The sequence below is a fragment of the Homo sapiens genome, chromosome 3 (assembly GCF_000001405.40).
Source record: "Homo sapiens chromosome 3, GRCh38.p14 Primary Assembly".
In the NCBI taxonomy this organism is placed as follows: domain Eukaryota; kingdom Metazoa; phylum Chordata; class Mammalia; order Primates; family Hominidae; genus Homo; species Homo sapiens.
The window spans coordinates 97,214,486-97,235,509 of record NC_000003.12 but is presented as its reverse complement, the minus strand read 5'-3'; the positions used below and the strand labels follow the sequence as shown (position 1 = coordinate 97,235,509).

The window sequence follows — 21,024 nt, the reverse complement described above, 5'->3', positions numbered from 1 at the left end:
CAGGAATTTACAAGAAGGAATGGATAGAAGAAATGCTAAAAAGTAGAACTGAAAGGCTATTTTGAAGTCAGGGGTAGGGGTTATGACTTAAGCTTCATGGCTTAGATGGGTGGATTGATGATGATTCATCAGGACACAGAAACAAAAGCTAGGCTTGATAAGCAGTCTGAGAGAGAAAGCAATAATACTGGCTAACTCAGGTTGAGCTTGAAATTATTAGTTATTCATTCATCAGGTTCTTAGTGTCTACTATATGCCAGGTACCTTGTAGTCTCTTGTGGACAGAATGACAACAAATGAGGAAGCAAGTATATAAATAAACCAAGTATTTTCTAAGAATGATATAATCTATAAAAAAGAAAGCACAATGACATAAAAAGGAGTAACTGCGAATAATTTTATTTTGAGGGGGCAGTCAGGAAATGCCTGCCCTAAAAGCTGATATTTGATTCTGAATAGCAAAAATAAAACCTAAGGAAGGAGCATTTCAAGTAGAGGAAACTGCTGGCACTGAGAATGAACACAAGTTCAGCATCTTTGAAGTCCAGGAGTTTGGTAATCAAGGGGAGTATGCTATAATATAAGGTCAGAGATGCAGGCAGGTTTCCATAGGACATACAGGTTGTCAGATCCCACAATCAGTTGTCTAGAAGACTTTGCACCTCAGGAGAGAAGACTGAGATATGGATAAAAATATGGGCATCATCTATCTACAGGTGACATTTGAAATTATGGGAGTTAAGGAGAACATATGAAAAGATAAAAGGGCAATAAAAAGAACATGGGAAAATTTAATATTTAACAGGTGAGCAAAAGAAGAAGAATCATCAATGGTGATAAACAAAATGATCAGAAAATTAGGAGGGTGAAACGGAGATTGCAATGTCTTAGATTAAAAGGGAACAGGAAGTTGCAAGAAAAAAAGAATGATCAACAGGATAAGTGTCATGAATAACAGGACAAAAAATGTTTCTAATACAAAATGTCAATGAAGATCATTGGTGAATTTTTCTTATGCAGTTTACTAGAAGTAGTAAAAACAAAATCTTCTTGTAGTAGAGTGAATGGGAACATCTAAATGCAACAGAGTAAAAAGCAAATTAAAAGTGAAAAGTAGACATAGCCAATGACGATGATTTTTCCAAGGTATTTGTTTTAGAGAAGAGAAAAATTGGACTGGGAGCATTTTTTTTGATAATATAAATTTGAATATATACTATAGGTTCTAAGGAAGGAGTTAGCAGAAACAAAAATTCAGTAGAGGAGATAAACAAAACCAGCTAGGCCCAACAGAAAATTGAAAGATCAGATCATCCCCCAACAATTGGAAGGATTAGCTTTGAATGTGAGACATAATTTTCTTTAGACTGTAGCCATTTGAGACACCTAATAATCTTTATGTGAATAAATTAGGATTATAAAATAAAAAGACACCATCTCTACAAACCCAAAGAAATCTGTAAAACTCTTAATGGTAAAATCTCATGCTGTGTTGTACTAGAAAAATTTTAGGTTTGTTGCTGTTGTTTTGAGAAAATCACTAAGGAACCGGGCTTCTTAGCATCCTTAAAATCTTATCATTTATATGATTGCCTCCTATACCTATCTATGAAATTTTCACCTACTAGGCCATTTACTGGCCAAATATTTTGGTTACTCATTTCCACAATTTTAGTTCTTCATTTTATTAATCATACATTCAAAATGGTTTCATCACATACTTGAAATTTTTAGTTACTTTTCTCTCTACCCCTGACACCAAAAAATGCTTCCTTTTAAATCCCTAGAAGGTTCTCTGAAAGCACCGTTTTAAATGCTAAGATTGACCAAGACACCAGATAGTAATGGGAATGACTGATGATCTAAATTCCAACTCTTAGATAATACACCATAAGAATAAAGGAAATAAATAATGGCAAATTCATAGAAATACAATATCTAGCATGGAGAGAATGCATATCTATTAAAATATTGCTACTGTTTGTGGTTAATGAAAAACAGGAAAGATTGACTGCTTGTTCGATTCCTGGCCCCAAAAGTTCTATATCTTGCTGGACTTACCATGAACCTCTTAAGTGTAATTGTTCAACAACCTCTTAACTTGTCATTTTTCTGATCTTCTTCCCCAACAATCTCATCTTTTAAGTTTTAGAAGACATAATGTTTTGAAGTTTATGGTACTTGCTTTTTTTTTTTTTTTGCATACATTGTAATAACTGCTAGGGTCACTCCATACTAATCAAAGTATGATTCAGACTACCTCACTGATATTGATGGAGTAGGCAGCTAGGCAGACATGAACAGGGCAGGAGAGGGCCCTCCACCCCAAGAATGTCAGGCAATGACCAGGTGATGGTCAGGTGGCTGTTAAACTATCTCTCTAAAACCATAATTGGTGGCAGCTGGTGCCAGGGAACAGTGGTCTCCCAATAGATAGAAAACACCTGAAGCTGGTGATCAGCTGCTTACCAATAAGATCTCAGGAATTGGACGAGTGGGCTCAAGCAGGTACATAAGAGGCAAAATTGCAGAGTTTGACCGGTATATGACCTTCCCCTAGAAACACTCAGTAAGAAAAAATGACTCCAGTGAACATGTGCATAACTTCAGTAAACATACTGTGCATGTGGCCCCTCCCGAGTGCCAGCAGGCCACTGTGCATGAAGACAGCCAGCCCCAAGGGAAGAATCAGGAGAGAAGAAACAGAAACCCTGGAACCATGCCAATGTATATAACCTCAAGTAAAGGGCCAAATGAGGCAGCTGGAACTGTCAAGGTGCCTGCTTGGCCCTCTTCCAAGTGTACTTTCTTTTGTTCCTGTTCCAAAAACATTTTAATAAACTTTCACTCCTGTTCTAAAACTTGCCTTGGTCTCATACTGACTTATGCCCCTCAGCCAAATTCTTTCCTATGAGGAGGTAGGAATCAAGTCGCTGCAGGCCTGTTAGATTTGCCACTGCTAACAATATCAGATGATAGGCTTAGAGGTGCAGGACTTAATATATTTTGTGAAAAGGTCTTAGGCATTCAGTATATTATTATCATTATTGTTTTTAGTTTGCAGGAATACAAATGATGGAAGCCGTGAACCTGACAAAATAGCATCAACATAAAATTTCTAATAGTTTGAATTTTAACTTACCAGACACTCTTTCAAAACGAATTGTAAGAGAACAGCTTTCTTTTTAATTTAACAAGCATTTATGTAGCACCCATTATGTGCAAGCTACTGTTTTTAGCACTTTTCAAATATTAACTCATTTAAATCATTGTGACAACAGTATGAGGTATGTATTGTTATCAATATGGATGGTACAACTGGAGTCAAGAGAAGTTAAATAATTTGCCCAACCTTACATATCTAATAAATGCTTTTGGGGTTCAGAAAATCACACCCAAAAATGTGGTCCTTTGGCATGTGGAGTTCTTTGAATTAGAGGAAACTGCAGGGCCTCAGAAATAAACCTCGAAACCAAAATCTCTCTCTGACCTTTCCTGTCAACCTGTCTCTCTGATCCCCTTTCATTCCCACAGCACAAATAGGAGATTTCTCTGAAGTTTCTTTATTTGTTTAAGGGAACTTCATCCAGAAGAAATGCATTGTCTTAAAAGCCCTTCCCTAGGAGTCTTGTCAAACAACCAGCAAAAATTAACCACTGGAAAAAAGAAACGACTATAAGTCATCACCAAGCCCAGAAAGACATTTCATCTATTCTTCTGAGGGCAGCTCCTAGGGATTACCTGAGATACTTTATCTGCATAATAACACTATTTTTCTTCATACTAAAGTTCCACCCTTCATCTTCTTCACTACCTCCCTCAGACCTCAGAGGAACTTTCTCCCAGGCCATTGTTCCTTGGGTGCACTCATTTCTCCTAAAAATCACTTACTATCCCTCCAATTGTCTACATGCCCCATTTCCTTTCCCCTACAAAGAGGGTATATAAACTTCACCATCTGGACCTTCTACAAGTCTCATGTTTTATATGCCCCCTCACCATGCTTATGCACATTAATACATTTCTACGCATTTTTCTTCTCTTAATCTGGCTATTGTCAGTTCATATCAGTAAACATTCAGAGAGGGTGAAAGAGTAGCTTTCCGTTTGCTCTTGTATCACCAAGATTCGCTCTGAGAAAATCTGGCTTTAAAAGACAGTGAATTCAGCATGAAGCTGAGTCTTTGCCAAACAAAGTAAGTAAGCTCTTAAAAAAGTAGAAGAGAGAAGCCTTGAGAAAGAAAGCTTCCTGGGTCTGGACTAGGAAAACTTGACTAAAGCTCTATATTTCACTTTTCTTTGGGGGTTCTCTCTTTGGATCATTGATAACAATGTAGGAGATCAAATTATGCCCTCCAAAATATGACTGGAGGAGACCAGAATATGTCACCCTAAAATATGGCTATAGGAGACCAGAATACGCCACTCAAAAATATGCCTCTTTGGCATAAGGATTATTTTGAGTCATTTTATTTGAGAAACTGCAGACACAGTAGCAGCTCTGAAAACAAAGTAGAAATCACCCTTTCCTATGGAAAATTTGTATCTACAAAGGAAATCTCCATTTGTAAGTGTATCTCTCTGTCTTCTCAGGAAGAGAAGGATCACTAAGTCACTAGAAACTCTTATCCATGAAGAAGGCACTGACTTAAATCAACATAACAAATCCTGTCCTGGTTTACTGTGATTTTACCTCCCCATTACTGCTCCGCCACCCAAAACTCTTCTTTCTTTGCTGCAGCTGAAGATGGTATTTAAACCTAAACTCAGAGCTACCTCTTTGAGATTTACTCATTCCCTAGGTATGTCCAATGTATACACGAGGTACATGTTAGTAAATTACTGTTTGCTTTTCTCTTTCTAATCTCTTTTGTTACTGGAGTCTGTCTCAACTAAGAACTATGAAGCGTAGAAGGAAAATTATTTTTCCTGCCCTATAGCAACAATGGCATGCTCTTCCCTGTCTAAAATTCTGCCCAGCCATGACAGAATTAAACCTTTCTTTGCTTCTACTTTGAATAAACAAGCTAGGCTAGCATTTCTGAAATATAATTTATAATATTAAGCATTAAAGAAGGAAATTAGAAATGATAGCAAATTTAAGTGACATAAAATGATGTGGAAAAATACACATATCTGATTCAAAAATGACTGACAAGCTTATCACATTCATAGACCTTGTTGTAGCCCATATTTATTTTTCTTTGACTAGTTTGTCATGCTGAATAACTCTAAGCCTTCTCAATTATTGACTATACTACTTTACTAAAGGGTTACATTGATGGGAACTTATTTCCTCAATTTACCAATTTTCTATTTATAGCCTCCTAAGAAAATAAAAAGATATTTTCCTCTAACACTTAGAAAGCTCCATTCAGTTTCCTACATAGGTTTTGAGGGATACATGCCTGACAGGTCTGTAACTATTTGAAATATCACAAACTACCTAAACTGTAGTATGTTGTCCATACTATATATAATACTATTCAGTAACCATGCAAGAAAGATTGCATGTATAGTAATAGGAAGATTTGTCTGCTAAAAACTTTTTTCCATAAGTGAGAAATTATATTAAGAAGTTTTATTTTGCTATTTATAAATTTAAAATATGTTCACAGGAAAAAAAATACCTAAGTAGTAATTTTCTAGGCTGTAATTTTCTGAAGAAAGCAGTCACTTAGCATTTACAATCAGAAAGCCAAAATTACATCTACTAATGAATAGCAACAATGAATGTATTACATTTTTATTAAATGTGTTCCATAAAAATATTTTATAAGGAAATCTATAGTAATACAGACAAATCTATGAACTGCATTAGTTAAGTTTAAAAAATTGGGACATCTCTAAGAAATGCCTCTAAGAAATATGTGACATTACATAAGTCTAGTTTTGCTTCTATGGAAGTAAATAAAATAAGCAAAATTTTGGTACCAATTCATCACCAGGAAGGGCAAATGTTCACCTTAATATCTGACTTATGTAACTGATAAATAAAAATAAAAGCAAACAAAAACATAAAGTGGAGAAAGGACACCCTATTCAATAAATGGTGCTGGGACAATTGGCAAGCCACACGTAGAAGAATGAGACAGGATCCTCATCTCTCACCTGATACAAAAATCAAATCAATATAGATCAAAGACTTAAATCTAAGTTCTGAAACCATAAAAATTCTAGAAGATAACATCAGAAAAATTCTTCTCGACATTGGCTTATGCAAAGAGTTTATGACCAAGAACCCAAAAGCAAATGCAATGAAAACCAAAGACAAATAGATAAGACCTAATTAAACTAAAAAGCTTTCACACAGCAAAAGAAATAATCAGCAGAGTTAATGGACAACCCACAGAGCAGGAGGAAATATTTGCAAACTATGCATCCAACAAAGGAACTCAATCTGCAAGGAACTCAAACAAATCAGCAAGAAAAAAAACCAAATAATCCCATCAAAAAGTTGGCAAAGGACATGGATAGACAATTCTCAAAAGAAGATACACAAACTGCCAACAGACATATGAAAAAATGCTCAACATCACTAATTATCAAGGAAATGCAAATCAAAACCACAATGCGATACCACCTTACTCCTGCAAGAATGGCCATAATTAAGAAATCAAACAATCATAAATGTTGATGTGGATGTGGTGAAAAGCAAACACTTACACTGCTGGTGGGAATGTAAACCAGTACAACTACCACGGATAACGGTATGGAGATTCCTTAAAGAACTAAAAGGAGAACTATCATTTGATCCAGCAATCCCCCCTACTAGGTATCTATCTACCCAGAGGAAAAGATGTCATTATTTGACACTTGCGCATGCATGTTTATAGGAGCACAATTTGCAATTGCAAAAAAATGTTGAACCAGTCCAAATGCCCATCAGCTAATAAGTGGATAAAGAAAATGTGACATATATATATATATAACATTTATATGACATTTACATTATATATATATATATATACACACACACACACACACCATAGAATGCTACTCAGCAATAAAAAGGAACAAAATAATGGTATTTGCAGCAACCTGGAGTTGGAGACCATTATTCTAAGTGAAGTAATTCAGGAATGGCAAACCAAACATCATATGTTCTCACATAACTGGTGGCTAAGGTATGAGGAGCAACAACATAAGAATGATATAATGGAATTTGGGAACTCAGTGGGGAAGGATGGGAGGGTAGTGAGTGATAAAAGACTACACATTGAGTACAGTGTACACTGCTCGAGTGATGGGTGCACCAAAATCTCAGAAATCACCACAAAAGAACTTCCCCCATGCAACCAAACACCACCTGTTCCCCAAAAACTATTGTTATAAAAATAAAAATTAAATAAAATCCGAATTCCACAACCTATTGAACAGACCCCCTCATGGCCAAGCTTACCCCAGAGAAACCTTAAAACTGGGATCCCGACTATGATGATGAGATGAGAGGCTGGACACACCTCCCTCCTTTACTACCATTAAGCTTCCTTCTTCAAGGGTTAAAGAGAAGCCAGCCCTTTTTAAAGACCCACTCCACCGCTGATATCAACTATCTGATGCTGCCCCTCCCTTTCTGTGGTTTAGACATAACAACTAACCAGCTTCCTTCCTGATAAGAGACCACCAACCACGGAGTAGTTCTGGCCAGTCCAGAGTATGCTCAGTGAGGGTTTCTACGTCCTCTGCTTCACCTTTTGACATCAGAGGGCTGAAAACTCCACCCTTGGGTTGTGCTAACATGGCCATTTTTTTGTACATGGGTCCCATGCTGAGGCATGAAGCTCAATTGCCCATGTGCATGTTTCTGCTTTCATAAATTTCATGACTCCTATAGCGTTATTTAATATGTGTCTTTGACCACCTCACTCAGCGTAAATCCCTGTCATTCTTACCACCCTCAAAGTGCATGTCTTGGTCAGAGGCTATATTTCCCAGCCTGCAGGATGGCCACCTTGCAAGCTGTAACTCTTCATAAAAAATAGTTTCGGCCAGGGGCGGTGGCTCATGCTTGTAATCCCAGCACTCTGGGAGGCCAAGGCAGGTGGATCACCTGAGGTCAGGAGTTCGAGACCAGCCTGGCCAACATGGTGAAACCCCATCTCTACTAAAAATATGAAAATTAGCTGGGCGTGGGGGTGTATGCCTGTAGTCCCAGCTACTCAGGAAGCTGAGGCAGGAGAATCGCTTGAATCCGGGAGGTGGAGGCTGCAGTGAGCCGGGATCATGCCACTGCACTCCAGCCTGGACTACAAGAGCAAAACTCTGTCTCGAAAAAAAAAAAAAAGTCTCCTCTACCTTTTTCTAAATTTATATATTGTGTTTTTTGTTTTTATGTTAACATATTAAACAAAACTTTAAAAAAAATCTAAGGGGTGATTATTTTACTTTTGCATAACTTAGCAATGTATTAATATATTCACTTTTATTTTTTAAATGTACTGATATTTTACAATATTTTAATAATAGAAGAATACAATTCATTTAAAATTCTTGGTGTATGCATTAAAATGACCTTCACATTTAGATTTAACATTCTACTGCTTCTAACCAAAAATATTGGAGAGAAAGTAAGAGGTGAAATGTGGAAAAACTCAAAAATACCTGCCTTTAAAGATAAATGTCAAGGGAACTTGAACTTTTCTACATAACAATAACACAATGACTTTTAAAGTTTCCTCTGGAATCTCCCTCACGCGTTAACTATATGGTCCTAAATTGATATGCTTTAAAATGGTCAAGGGTTGAAGCAAAGAACAGAAGTTTTGTTCATAACTTCTCATGCAGCCTTCAACTGCTATAATTTCCTAAGGACAGATTATGGATAAGGAAAACTTGTAGGGCCTCAAACCAGTGCTGGCATTTGTACATCATGAATCCAAATGAATTTTGAGGAGTAAACCCATTCTTTACAAAGAGTTGAAAAGCAACTATGCTGAGAAGAGAGAGAAGCTTTTTCCTTGACTGTTATCACAGACAAATGGCATTGATAATGCAAGATTTTGTACATTTACTTATTTTTTAAATTTAGAATGAAAAGACCAAAAGGGTTGGAAACAGAATTTCCAAATCCAAAATGTATAGACTTACTGGTACATGCCATAGAAGGTGGGTCTTTTTCAGCTCGGAAATAACCCTTTTCACACTGACAGACAGAAGTTGCTTCCATGTATGTTAAACTGTGTGGAGGACATTTAGAACATTTTGTGTTCCCAGCAAAAGCTTTATAGAATCCTGGTCTGCAAGCTGTAAAAAGAGAAAAAAACACTTTTTTAGTTATTATTGCTAGGATTCTTTTATTTGTACATGTACAACATACTTTAATTTATATTCACATTGGATCTCAGAGTACAGTGTTACACATACATAGAGAAGACATCTATATTAAGATTAACAAATGAAATTAGTTATTGAGAGTTAATAAAACCACAATGCAATCATATTTTAGCTGAGGCTGCTAATTTTTAAAATTATACCTCAAGCATACACACATACACACACACACACTCACACGGGCACGTGCACACAAAATATCAGTGCTTACCTAAGAATGGGGATGCCCATGACTGGCAGTAAGGAAAATGATTTTGTGTCGTTCTCAGAGAAGGCATTAAATAACATTAAACCATTCTGTTCAAAATGTATTTACATTCTATTTTCCCTTCAGTTCTTCTGAGTAGTCAAGAAGAAAATTCTAATTTGGTGAAAGTATGTCTTTGACACCTTTCTTAGTGGCTAAATTTTCTTTTGTATATGCTGTAACTCTATTTTTTGATAGTTTATGTTTGCTTTTATAATAATATTTTTATAAATGATCTAGTAATTCAAAAGAAGCAAAATTACCAATTCCACACAGTAAAATTACTATCAAGAGGTTGGTTATTCAATATCAACATCAATGAGGAGTGGTGGTACACAAATATACAATAGTCTCTTCAATAACTTATTAATAAATAAATAGTATATAGTCACTCAAAAAAGGTTATCATTAACATATTGTTCTAAAATTTTGAAAATTCAGAATACATAAATAATATATGAGAAACATTGCTAACATTTTCATAATTGAAGTATTGTTTAAAAATAATTACTAAATGTGATCTTATGACAGCAGTTATGACAATGTATCACAAAATAGTCAATAAATCTACCTTATACAGTTTGCCAATAAAATAATTGTTTTCTACTAAAATATGCAGTTTAAAATAACTGAATATATTCGACAGGATAGGTCTGTTAATAATTAGCCCAAAATTGCCAGGTGCGGTGGCTCACGCCTGTAATCCCAGCACTTTGGGAGGCCGAGGCGGGCTGATCACAGGGTCAGGAGATTGAGACCATTCTGGCTAACACGGTGAAACCCCCTCTCTACTAAAAATACAAAAGATCAGCTGGGCGTGGTGGCGGGCGCCTGTAGTCCCAGCTACTCGGGAGACTGAGGCAGGAGAATGGCGTGAACCCGGGAGGCGGAGCTTGCAGTGAGCGGAGATCGCGGCACTGCACTCCAGCCTGGGCGACAGAGCGAGACTCCGTCTCAAAACAAACAAACAAACAAACAAAAAAACCCAAAAAAGCAAAAAAAAAAATCAGTCAAAAATTAACAAGTTGGACCTGAAATTGAAGTAATACCTTTAATCTATAACAATATTTAAAATTCTAACATACTAGTCAATTTATAGAGAATATATAAATCTAAATGGGGAGCTTACATTCTAAATATTGCAGTGGTATTTAAAATATTACTTTAAGATAAAGTAATATTTAAAACATTTTAAATATTATTTAAAAGGTTTTTTATGTTATTCTGTAGAATAAGACCGTTTAAAATTAATTAGGAATATGTATGCCATAGAACCACAATATAAAAGATATTTTTACATGTACATATATAGAACCTATAAGACACATAAAGAAGAATTATAAGCATATTGTTTTCTTCTTTTAATCAGCCATGCAAATTTCAGCCAAAAACATTGTTCAGAATATAAAGTAGCGTGCTTATAACTTAATTCTGTGCAGCAAGACATTGTTACCTTTTACTTATTTTCTTTGGTAGCTAAAACAAGAATTTAAATAATTTCTTATCTGACGTGTTTTCTGTTAATTTCCCACTTCTTAGAATCTTTTCAGAATGCTTAGAACATCTCCTAAGATATTTAGAATAGGCTAGTGATATTCGAACTGTTCTTGAGAACAGTCTCATAACTAGCCTCTCAGCAACTATTCTTGCCCACTTTAATCCATTCTTCAGACAGAGTGATCTTCTAAATACACTGTGTCTAACAGCAATATAAAGTGAGACACATATAAATAATTTTAAATTTTGTAGTAGCCACATTAAAATACTAAAAAGAAACAGGTGAAATTATATTTTAATAATATATTTTATTTAACCCAATATATCCAAAATATTATCATTTCAACATTAAATCAACCATTGAAATATTTTACATTCCTTGGATTTTAAATTTTTTTTTTCTCGAAGTATTTGAAATCCTGTATGTACTTTAGCAGATCTCAATTTAAACTAACTGCATTTCAAGTGCCCAATAACCTCACATGGCTAGTGAATACCATACTGGATAGCACAATTTTAAACACAGAAATCTATTCATTACATTCTTCTATTCAAAAATTTTTTATAATTTCCGACCATATTAATGTTAAAGTTTAAAATATTTAACTTGGATTACAACGTTGCCCATGATTTGGCCCTGCCTACCTCTCCAACCACATCAGATGAAGATACTCCCTTCTTGCACCTTCTCCGTTAAGGCTTTGCCCTTCTCCAATTTATGGTCAACCCAGTAGCTGATGATCTCCTTAAAACATGTATAAGACTGTATTATGACTGGACTTAGAGCCTTCCATTGGCTTTCTCTTCCTCGGAGAGTAGAAGCTGTTGCCTTGATAACTGCCTCCCAAGCACCGCATGGTTTTGCTCCCCACCCCCAGTGACTCTGCTTTTCATTTCCTACCTTTTGTTCCTTCAGATACTTCGCTCTAGCCACACTGGCCTTTTCCAGAATCTTGGACACCCAAGCTTGTTCCCACAACAGGGCTTTTTTTAACACTTGCTCTTACTCAGCTATCTGCATGCTTTAACCCTTCCTTTATATCAGGTCTTTGTTCAAATGTCACCAAATTAATGAAGCCTTCCCTGCTTCCTGCTACACCCTGCTGCAATATTTCATATTATGCTCCCCACTCCAAAGAACTTCACATCTGATACATGATGCATTTAATTTTTAAATCATTCCACAGTAAAATGTATGCTCCAATAAGGGAGATATTTTTCTTTGTTTTGTTTTCTAAAATGCATTTCCAGGGTCTAGAACAGTGCTAGGCATTATTAGACCCTCAAATGAGGTATATTTGGCAAATAAAGGAATGAATTGCCAAAGATCTCCTTTAATTTCTATGGTTTTACCATGCTCTTTCTCCTGCTTTAAGGCTTCTTCTCTGTTGAAAAGTCTATTCACTGTATCTCTACCTCATGACCCACGTATGTTGCCAATTCCTTATAACCCCGATGACTCTGTGATTCACTTATCTTTCAGCTCGCACTTCTTTAAGAGGGCCATTCTGACTTCTTAGGCCAAATTTAGTTTCTCAAAGGACCTGGGCCTTTTCCGCATTAGTTAGCCTTGGTAATTACCTGTTTAATGGCTGTAAGCACCACAAGAGCAGATTTGTCCGGTGCTTAGTGCTTGTTATAATGTAGGTGCTCGATACATACTTGTTTAATTGAACTGGATAGTGTGTGAGTACTCTGCTAATTAAATTCCTGTAGAAGATTATGCATATCTACTTAATGCATGGTCTGGTAATGGCACAATTCATCTTTCTATAGATTTATATGTTTTCTGCTTAATGTGTTATAGGTTAGGGATGAAAACAGATAGTAAATATCTTGAAAGTGATTTAACTGTGTCTGAAAAATGATTATTCTAATATTGCAAGATGACCTAGTTATTAACAAGTTTCCATTTGAAATTATTATTAATGTGAACTTGGATATTACTCCTAATGCAAAAAATACATATATAAATTGGATATAGGAGCTGCAACTTTCAACTATCCCTGATTTCAAATGTTTTTGTACATCAACTTGCCTTTGAAATCCTAAAAATTTTGAACCCATAAAATATATTTGGGTTACTTCAATATTTCTCTATTTCAATATTAACATTTAGTATAATATTTCATTTAAAAATAAAGAATTCTGTTGTTAGAAAATTATTATTGAGGCACTCACATTCTCTTATATAGCACACATTAATAGTATACAGCATATAACTCTCAGATCATATCATATTAGATTACAACTATTGTGTCGAGTGTTATCTCAGCTTTATGTAACTGCCACAAGCCAGAGATGGGCCTCAATATCACATATCACAGTATGCACAATATCTACCGTATTTCAGGCATATTTAGGTTTTAGGGTTTTTGTTTGTTGGTTGGTTTTTTTTTTTTTTTGAGAAGGGGTCTGGCTCTGTTGTCCAGGCTGGAGTGCAGTGGTGCGATCTCGGCTCACTGAAACTTCTGCACCCAGATCAAGCAATTCTCCTGCCTCAGCCTCCTGACTAGCTGGGATTATAGGCACCCACCACCATATCTGCCTAATTTTTGTATTTCAGTAGAGATCGGGTTTCACCATGTTGGCAGGCTGGTCTTGAACTCCTGACCTCAAGTGATCCACCTGCGTCGGCCTCCCAAAGTGCTGGGATTACAGGCATGAGCCACCGCACCCAGCCTTTAGTTTTTATAAACACTGTAAAAATGGAATGATGGTAAATAAATGGTGAATGCTAATACCGAACATGAGATAATTGCACAAGTATTCTGTGTATCTATTCAATTAGTGGTCTTAGGTTTTGTTAGAATTGGGTTATAAATGGGGTATCAGTACTCATGTCTTGAGAACTTTTAAATTTCTTTCTTATATATTCTTTCCTTCTCTACTACTTCCTTATTTTTCTGTTTATATTATAGGATGTATAAACTTCTTGCTTTCAAGAAACAAGCGAGTGGAGATAAGAATGTTGTCCAACATATGTCTATATTCTACAGAATCATGTAGGAAAGTTACAGGTTATCTAACAAAGTGGTTTCTATTATTTTTTCCTTTAGAAAAATCTATTTGGGAATAGACCATCGTTACTTTCCTTTTTTTTTTTTTTTTTTTTTTTTTTTTTGAGACAGAGTCTTGCTCTGTCACCAGGCTGGAGTGCAGTGGCAGGATCTCGGCTCACCACAACCTTCAACTCCCTGGTTCAAGCGATTCTCCTGTCTCAGCCTCCCGAGTTGGGTTCTCAGGCATGCACCACCATGCCCATCTAATTTCTGCATTTTTAGTAGAGTCGAGGTTTCACCGTGTTGGCCAGATGGTCTCCAGCTCCTGACTTTGTGATCCGCCTGCCTTGGCCTCCCAAAGTGCTGGGATTATAGGCATGAGCCACTGCACCCAGCCTGCATTACCTTTTTAATTTCTACTTTTAAGTTTTCCCCCATAATAATAAAGATTTATTATTTAAATCACTACATCTTTTGGAATAGTGCATTCATCTCAGGTCTGCCTTTCTCTGCTTTCTCCCTGCTCATATCCACTCCACAGTTTCTGCAAGTTACATTTCTAAATAGTAGATATGGCTATGCTATTCTCTATTGTCTATTGTAAGAGTTTAGCCTTTTTGCAAAACCAGACCACTGCACAGATTTGTACAGACTGATTTGGTTAGGCTTTGTGTCCCCACCCAAATCTCATCTTGAATTATAATCCTCATAATCCCCATGTGTCAAGGGAGAGACCACGTGGATATAATTGAATCATGGGGGTGGTTTCCCCCATGCTGTCCTTGTGATATTGAGTGAGTTCTCACAAGATCAGATGGTTTTATAAGAGGCTCTTCCCCCTTCTCTAGGCAATTCTCCTTCCTCTTGCCTTGTGAAGAAGGTCCCTTGCTTCCCCTTTGCCTTCTGCCATGATTGTAAATTTCCTGAGGCTTCTCCAGACATGTTAAACTGGTGGTCAATTAAACCTCTTTCCTTTATAAATTACCCAATCTTGGGCAGTTCTTTATAGTAGTATGAAAATTGAATAATACAGTAAATTGGTACCAAAGAGAGTGGGGTACTGTTATAAAGATACCAAAAGTGTGGAAGCGTCTTTGGAAATGGGTAACAGGCAAAAGTTGGAACAGTTTGGAGGGCTCAGAAGAAGACAGGAAGATGTGGGAAAGTTTGGAACTTTCTAGAGACCTGGAGGGCTCAGAAGAAGACAGGAAGATGTGGGAAAGTTTGGAACTTCCTAGAAGTTTGTTGAATGACTCAGACCAAAATGCTGATAGTGATACGGACAATTAAGTCAAGGCTGAGGTGGGCTCAGATGGAGATGAGGAGCTTGTTGTGCACTGGAATAAAGGTGACTCTTGCTATGCTTTAGCAAAGAGACTGGTAGCATTTTGCTCCTGTCCTAGAGATCTGTGGAACCTTGAACTCATGAGAGATGATTTAGGGTATCTGGCAGAAGAAATTTCTAAGCAGCAAAGCATTCAAGATGTTACTTGGGTGCTCTTAAAAGCATTCAGTTTTATACATTCACAAAGAGATGGTTTGAAATTAGAACTTACGTTTAAAAGGGAAGTAGAGCATAAAATTTTGGAAAATTTGCAACCTGATGATACAATAGAAAAGAAAAACCCATTTTCTGGGGAGAAATTAAAGCTGGCTGCAGGAATTTGCATAACTAACAAGGAGCTGAATGTTAATTGCCAAGACAATGGAGAAAATATTTCTGGGGCATTTCAGAGATATTCACGGCAGCACTTCCCATCACAAGTCTGGAGGCCTAGGAGGGAAAAAAGGTTTCGTGGGCTGGGCCCAGGGCCCAGCTGCTCTGTGCAGCCCTGTGACATGGCACCCTGCACCCCAGTCACTCCAGCTTCAGCCATGGCTAAAAGGGGCCAAGGTACAGCTTGGGCTATTGCTTCAGAGGTTGCAATCCCCAAGCGTTGGCAGCTTCCATGTGCTGTTGGGCCTTCAGGTGCACAGAAGACAAGAACTGAGGCTTGGGAGCTTCTACGTAGATTTCAGAGGATGTATGGAAATGCCTGGATTAACATTTATTATAATATTTCATTATATGGCAGAAGTCTGATGCAGGGGTGGAGCCCTCATGGAGAACCTCTACTAGAGCAATGAAGAGGGAAAATGTAGGGTTTAAGCCCCAACACAGAGTCCCCACTTGGGTACTGCCTAGTGGTGCTATGAGAAGAGGGCCACCATCCACTAAACCCCAGAATGGTAGACCACTGACAGCCTGCACCATGTGCCTGGAAAAGCCACAGACACTCAATGCCAGCCCATAAAAGCAGCCAGGAGTGGAGCTGTACCCTGCAAAGCCACAGGGGTAGATCTGTCCAAGACTGTGGGAGCCCACCTCTTGCATCAGGGTGACCTGAAAGTGAGACAAGAAGTCAAAGGAGATCATTCTGCAGCTTGAAGATTTGACTGCCACACTAGATTTCAGACTTACAGGAGGCCTGGAGCCCTTTTGTTCTGGTCAATTTCTCCCATTTGGAATGGGTGTATTTACCCAATGCCTGTACCCCTATTGTATCTAGAAACTAATTCACTTGCTTTTGATTTTACAGGTGCATAGGTTGAAGGGACTTGCCTTTTCTCAGATGAGACTTTGGACTTGGAATTTTGGGTTAATGCTGGAATGAATTACAACTTTGGGGGACAGTTGGGAAGGCATGATTGGTATCATAATGTGAAAAGGATATGATATTTGGGTGGGGCCAGGGACAGAATGATTTGGTTAGGCTTTTTATCCCCAACCAAGTCTCATCTTGAATTATAATCCCTATAATCCCTATGTGTCAAGGGAGAGACCAGGTGGAGGTAATTGAATCATGGGGGTGGTTTCCCTGATGCTATTCTCATGATAGTGAGTGACTTCTTACAAGATCTGATAGTTTTATAAGGGGCTCTTCCTACTTTGCTAGGTACTTCTCCTTCCTCCTGTCTTGTGAAAAAGGTGCCTTGCTTCCCTTTTGCCTTCCGCCACAATTGTAAGTTTCCTAAGGCTTCCCCAGCCATGCTGAATTGTGAGTGAATTAAACCTCTATTTTTTATAAATTACCTTGTCTCAGGCAGTTCTTTATAGCACTATGAAAATGGACTAATACACAGACTGAGAGCTAAGAATGGTTTTACATTTTTTTTTTTTAAGATAGGGTCTCACTCTTTCATCCAGGCTAGAGTGCAGTGGCATGATCACAGCTTACTGCAGCCTCCACCTCCCAAGCTCAGGTGGTCCTCCCACATCAGCCTTCCAAGTAGCTGGGACTACAGGCATGCACCACCATGCCAGCTAATTTTTGTATTTTTTGTAGAGAGGGGGTTTTGCCATATTGTTCAGGCTGGTCCCATTCTTCTGTGCTTCAGTGATCTGCCTTGCCTCGGTCTGCCAAAGTGCTGAGACTACAGGCATAAGCATCTGCACCCAGCCTTTATATTTTTAAATGATTATATAAGTATATGATATTCTAGATTTTTGACTCAGACTTCAAAGTCTAAAGTACATACTCTATGGCTTTTCACAGAAAAAAATATGACAATACCTGGTTTCTAGAATAAAGTCCAAACTAAGATTAGCATTTAATTTCCTTCAGAGATGGACTCACATCTATTTTTCCAAAATCACCTTCCACTGCTACAGAAATTTTATACTTCTTGCCACTCCCTACATGGACCATATTATTTTCTCACAGTTTTACTGAAGTATAATTGGCATACACAAAACTTCAAATAAAGCATATGATTGGATATTGTGATATATCTACACAACTGTGAAAACTTGGCACAATCAAGATAGCGAATATATCTGTCAATCCCAGAAGTTTTCTTATACCTCTTCATTTTAGGGTATTTTCATTTTTATATTTAAAGTATGTTTCTTGGAAGCAGCACATACCTCGGTCTTGTAAAAAACTACTATTTGACAATCTATGCCATTTAATTGGGGTATTTAGATCATTTATATTTAATGTGATTATTGATATTCTTAGGTTTAATTCTACCTTGCTATTTGCTTTGCATTTGTCCCATGTCTTTGTTATTTTCCTCTTTTCCTATGTTCTTTTAGAAAAGTGACATACTTTTTACCATCTGTTTTATCTTCTTTGTTGAATTTTTTTTATTAGTAAAATTTAAGTGAGCACTCACAGAGAACCTCTGCACCTCTCTGGAGTTGTCTTTTGGAAAGCCCTTTTCTCTGTCATACTGACATTGTGAAATCTTGCTACCTTGATTTCCCTGAACTCTCAGATCTGTCTTCTCGATTAATAGTGCATTAAGGAGTTTATAAGGTTTTATCAGGGTCCTTTCTCCTGTGCCAGGGCCTAAAAATTTACCCTAAATAGTAAGTTGGGGAAATTGTAGGGCTTTCCTCTTTTAATTACTATCTCTTGGTTATCTGATGTCTCATGTCTTAAATATGTTTTTTTCCACATATTTTAAATGAGTTTTCTTATCTCAGATAGTAGAAGTTACTCCATCTTGACCAAAAGTAAAAATCAGACTGCTTGAGTCATCCTAAATTCTTATTTTTGTCTTCATATTTCATTGTCTTCTATAATGTCCTTTTCCTATCTACTATATCTAGTTTCTCAAATACATATTTAAATAACTTATTTTAAAGTGCAGTGTAATACTACCACCTGTACCAGAATACTTAGATGAAATAAACACACAATACCAAATGTTTCTGAGAATATGGAGCAATACGAACTCTAAAATATCACTGGAGGAGTTTAAGTTCGTGCTACCACTTTAGAGAACTGTTTGGCAGTACTTACTATAGGTAGGAACATAGGCCTACCATTTGATATAACAATTCCACTGCTTGCTATATGCCCAAAAGAAAAGCATGAGATGAAAGGGGCCTATCCCCCTGAAGTAGTCATACTAATTTCCATTGCTACATGAGTTATTGATCCTCCACTTGATTTTCATTTTCTGAAATTTGTTGACATTGATGTGGTTTGGATATTTGTCTTCTTGAAATCTCATGTTGAAATGTGATTCTCAATGTTGGAGGTGGGGCCTGGTGGGAGATGACGGGATCATGGAGGTGGATTCCTCATGAATGGTTTAGAAGCATCCCCTGTTTATAAGTGAGTTCTTGCTCAGTTAGTTCATGCGAGATAAGGTTGTTTAAAAGTCTAGGACCACAACCTCCCCACCCCTTGCTCCTGCTCACACCATGTGATGTACAGGCTCCGCTTCTCCTTCTACCATAATTAGAAGCTTCCTGAGCCCCTCACCAGAAGCAGATGCTGGAGCCATGCTTGTACTGCCAGAAGAATCATGAGCCAATTAAAACTCTTTTCTTTAGAAATTACCCATCTCAGGTACTTCTTTATAGCAATAAAGAAATGACCTAATACAGACATTGACTTTTCTCACCTGATGTAGTTTCTTTTCCCTTTCTCTTTTGCTTTCTTCTTGTTAGAGTAAACATTCCATATACCCTTATTCCTGTTAGTGAATTGTCAAAAAGGCATACAGGTAAACTAATATGTTCAATAAACTATGTTTAACAAAAAGCTTTTACCTTCCTAAATTTCAGATCATATAATTGGAGGAAGTATATTCAGTTAAGAATAATCAAATTACAAACATATCCTTATTTCTGAAATATGTTTTGAAATTTTTATTTCAAAATATGTTTATAATTTCAGAAACTTTACATGATTGCTTAAAATAACAATGAAAATGTCATACATATGGCAAAAGTCAATTTTTAGAGAAGACATATATTAAAGGCAAACTAAATATGGATACAGTGATTGAAATATCACTAATTTTCTATTTTTTTTTTTTTTTGAGACAAAGTTTGCTCTTGTTGCCCAGACTGAAGTGCAGTGACATGATCTCAGCTCACTGCAACCTCCGCCTCCCGGGTTCAAGCAATTCTCCTGCCTCAGCCTCCTGAGTAGCTGGAATTACAGATGCCTGCCATGATGCCTGGCTACACTAATTATCTTATACAACAATTTCTCTTATAGATGTTTGAAATTTCATTATCCACAGAAAATTGAAATCAGAATATTGAAGTATTGATTGAAACACAGCTGAAGCCTGTGACTTTCAGTCACATACACACACACACAAAGTATGTCTCTAATAAAACAAAAAATAAGAAATGAATAATCTGTTCTACTCATACTTTCAAAATTGAGTGGTTAGACTATATATTGTTAGCAGTGTTTTTAGGCTTATCCTTATTATCAGAGAACTGGAAGACAAAAAAATAACATGAGAAATCCTAGCTAGCATATCATGCTGTGTGGTTCTCATTGTTTGATTAAATATTGAATTGCGTCTTGTGTGTCAGGAACTGATATTAATATAATCGACTGCTTTTCCCTCATGGTGTTCAATAGCCTGTAAGTTTAGATAAACCTGCATGACTTATCAGTAAAATATATGATCTGCATCATTTCTCAAAATAATAGCATTCTTGAAAGAACTTTAAGAAACTGGCAAAAACAGTATCATTTATGTTTTCTAGATGCTGCTGTACAATAAATATTGTTGTCAAGTTACTAGCAAAAGCAGAGAAGATTAAGGAATTTAAACATAAGAAAACTGCAAAACTTAAGGGTGAATAAACACACATATGTTGTTTCTTCTGAATAACCTCATAGCATCCAGTGAAATTCTCAAATTCACCAAATCCAAGTCTATAAATAATAAGCTTGTATATTCAGTTAAGAATAATCAAATTACAAACATATCCTCATTTCTGAAATATGTTTTGAAATTTTTATTTCAAAATACGCTTATAATTTGAGAAACTTTATGTGATTGCTTAAAATAACAATGAAAATATTATACATATGGCAAAAATCAAAGTAAATTTTTAGAGAAAGATATATATTAAAGGCAAACTAAATATGAATACAGTGATTGAAATACCACTAATTTTCTTTTCTTTTTTTTTTTTTT

The 21,024-nt window shown here is 36.6% G+C and overlaps 1 protein-coding gene across 11 annotated transcripts in view; it reads right to left on the bottom strand.

The window, feature by feature from the left end:
• EPHA6 (EPH receptor A6) overlaps positions 1-21,024 on the bottom strand; it is a 946,939-nt gene that overhangs the window by 526,023 nt on the left and 399,892 nt on the right. For all 11 annotated transcript variants that reach the window (XR_001740110.2, XR_924126.3, XM_017006211.2 and 8 more), the window contains one exon: positions 9,091-9,246. Coding sequence is in view for 9 of the 11 variants with exons in the window: in XM_017006211.2 (XP_016861700.1) it covers positions 9,091-9,246 (156 nt within the window). In the remaining 2 variants the exon portion in view is untranslated. The remainder of the gene's footprint in view (positions 1-9,090; positions 9,247-21,024) is intronic.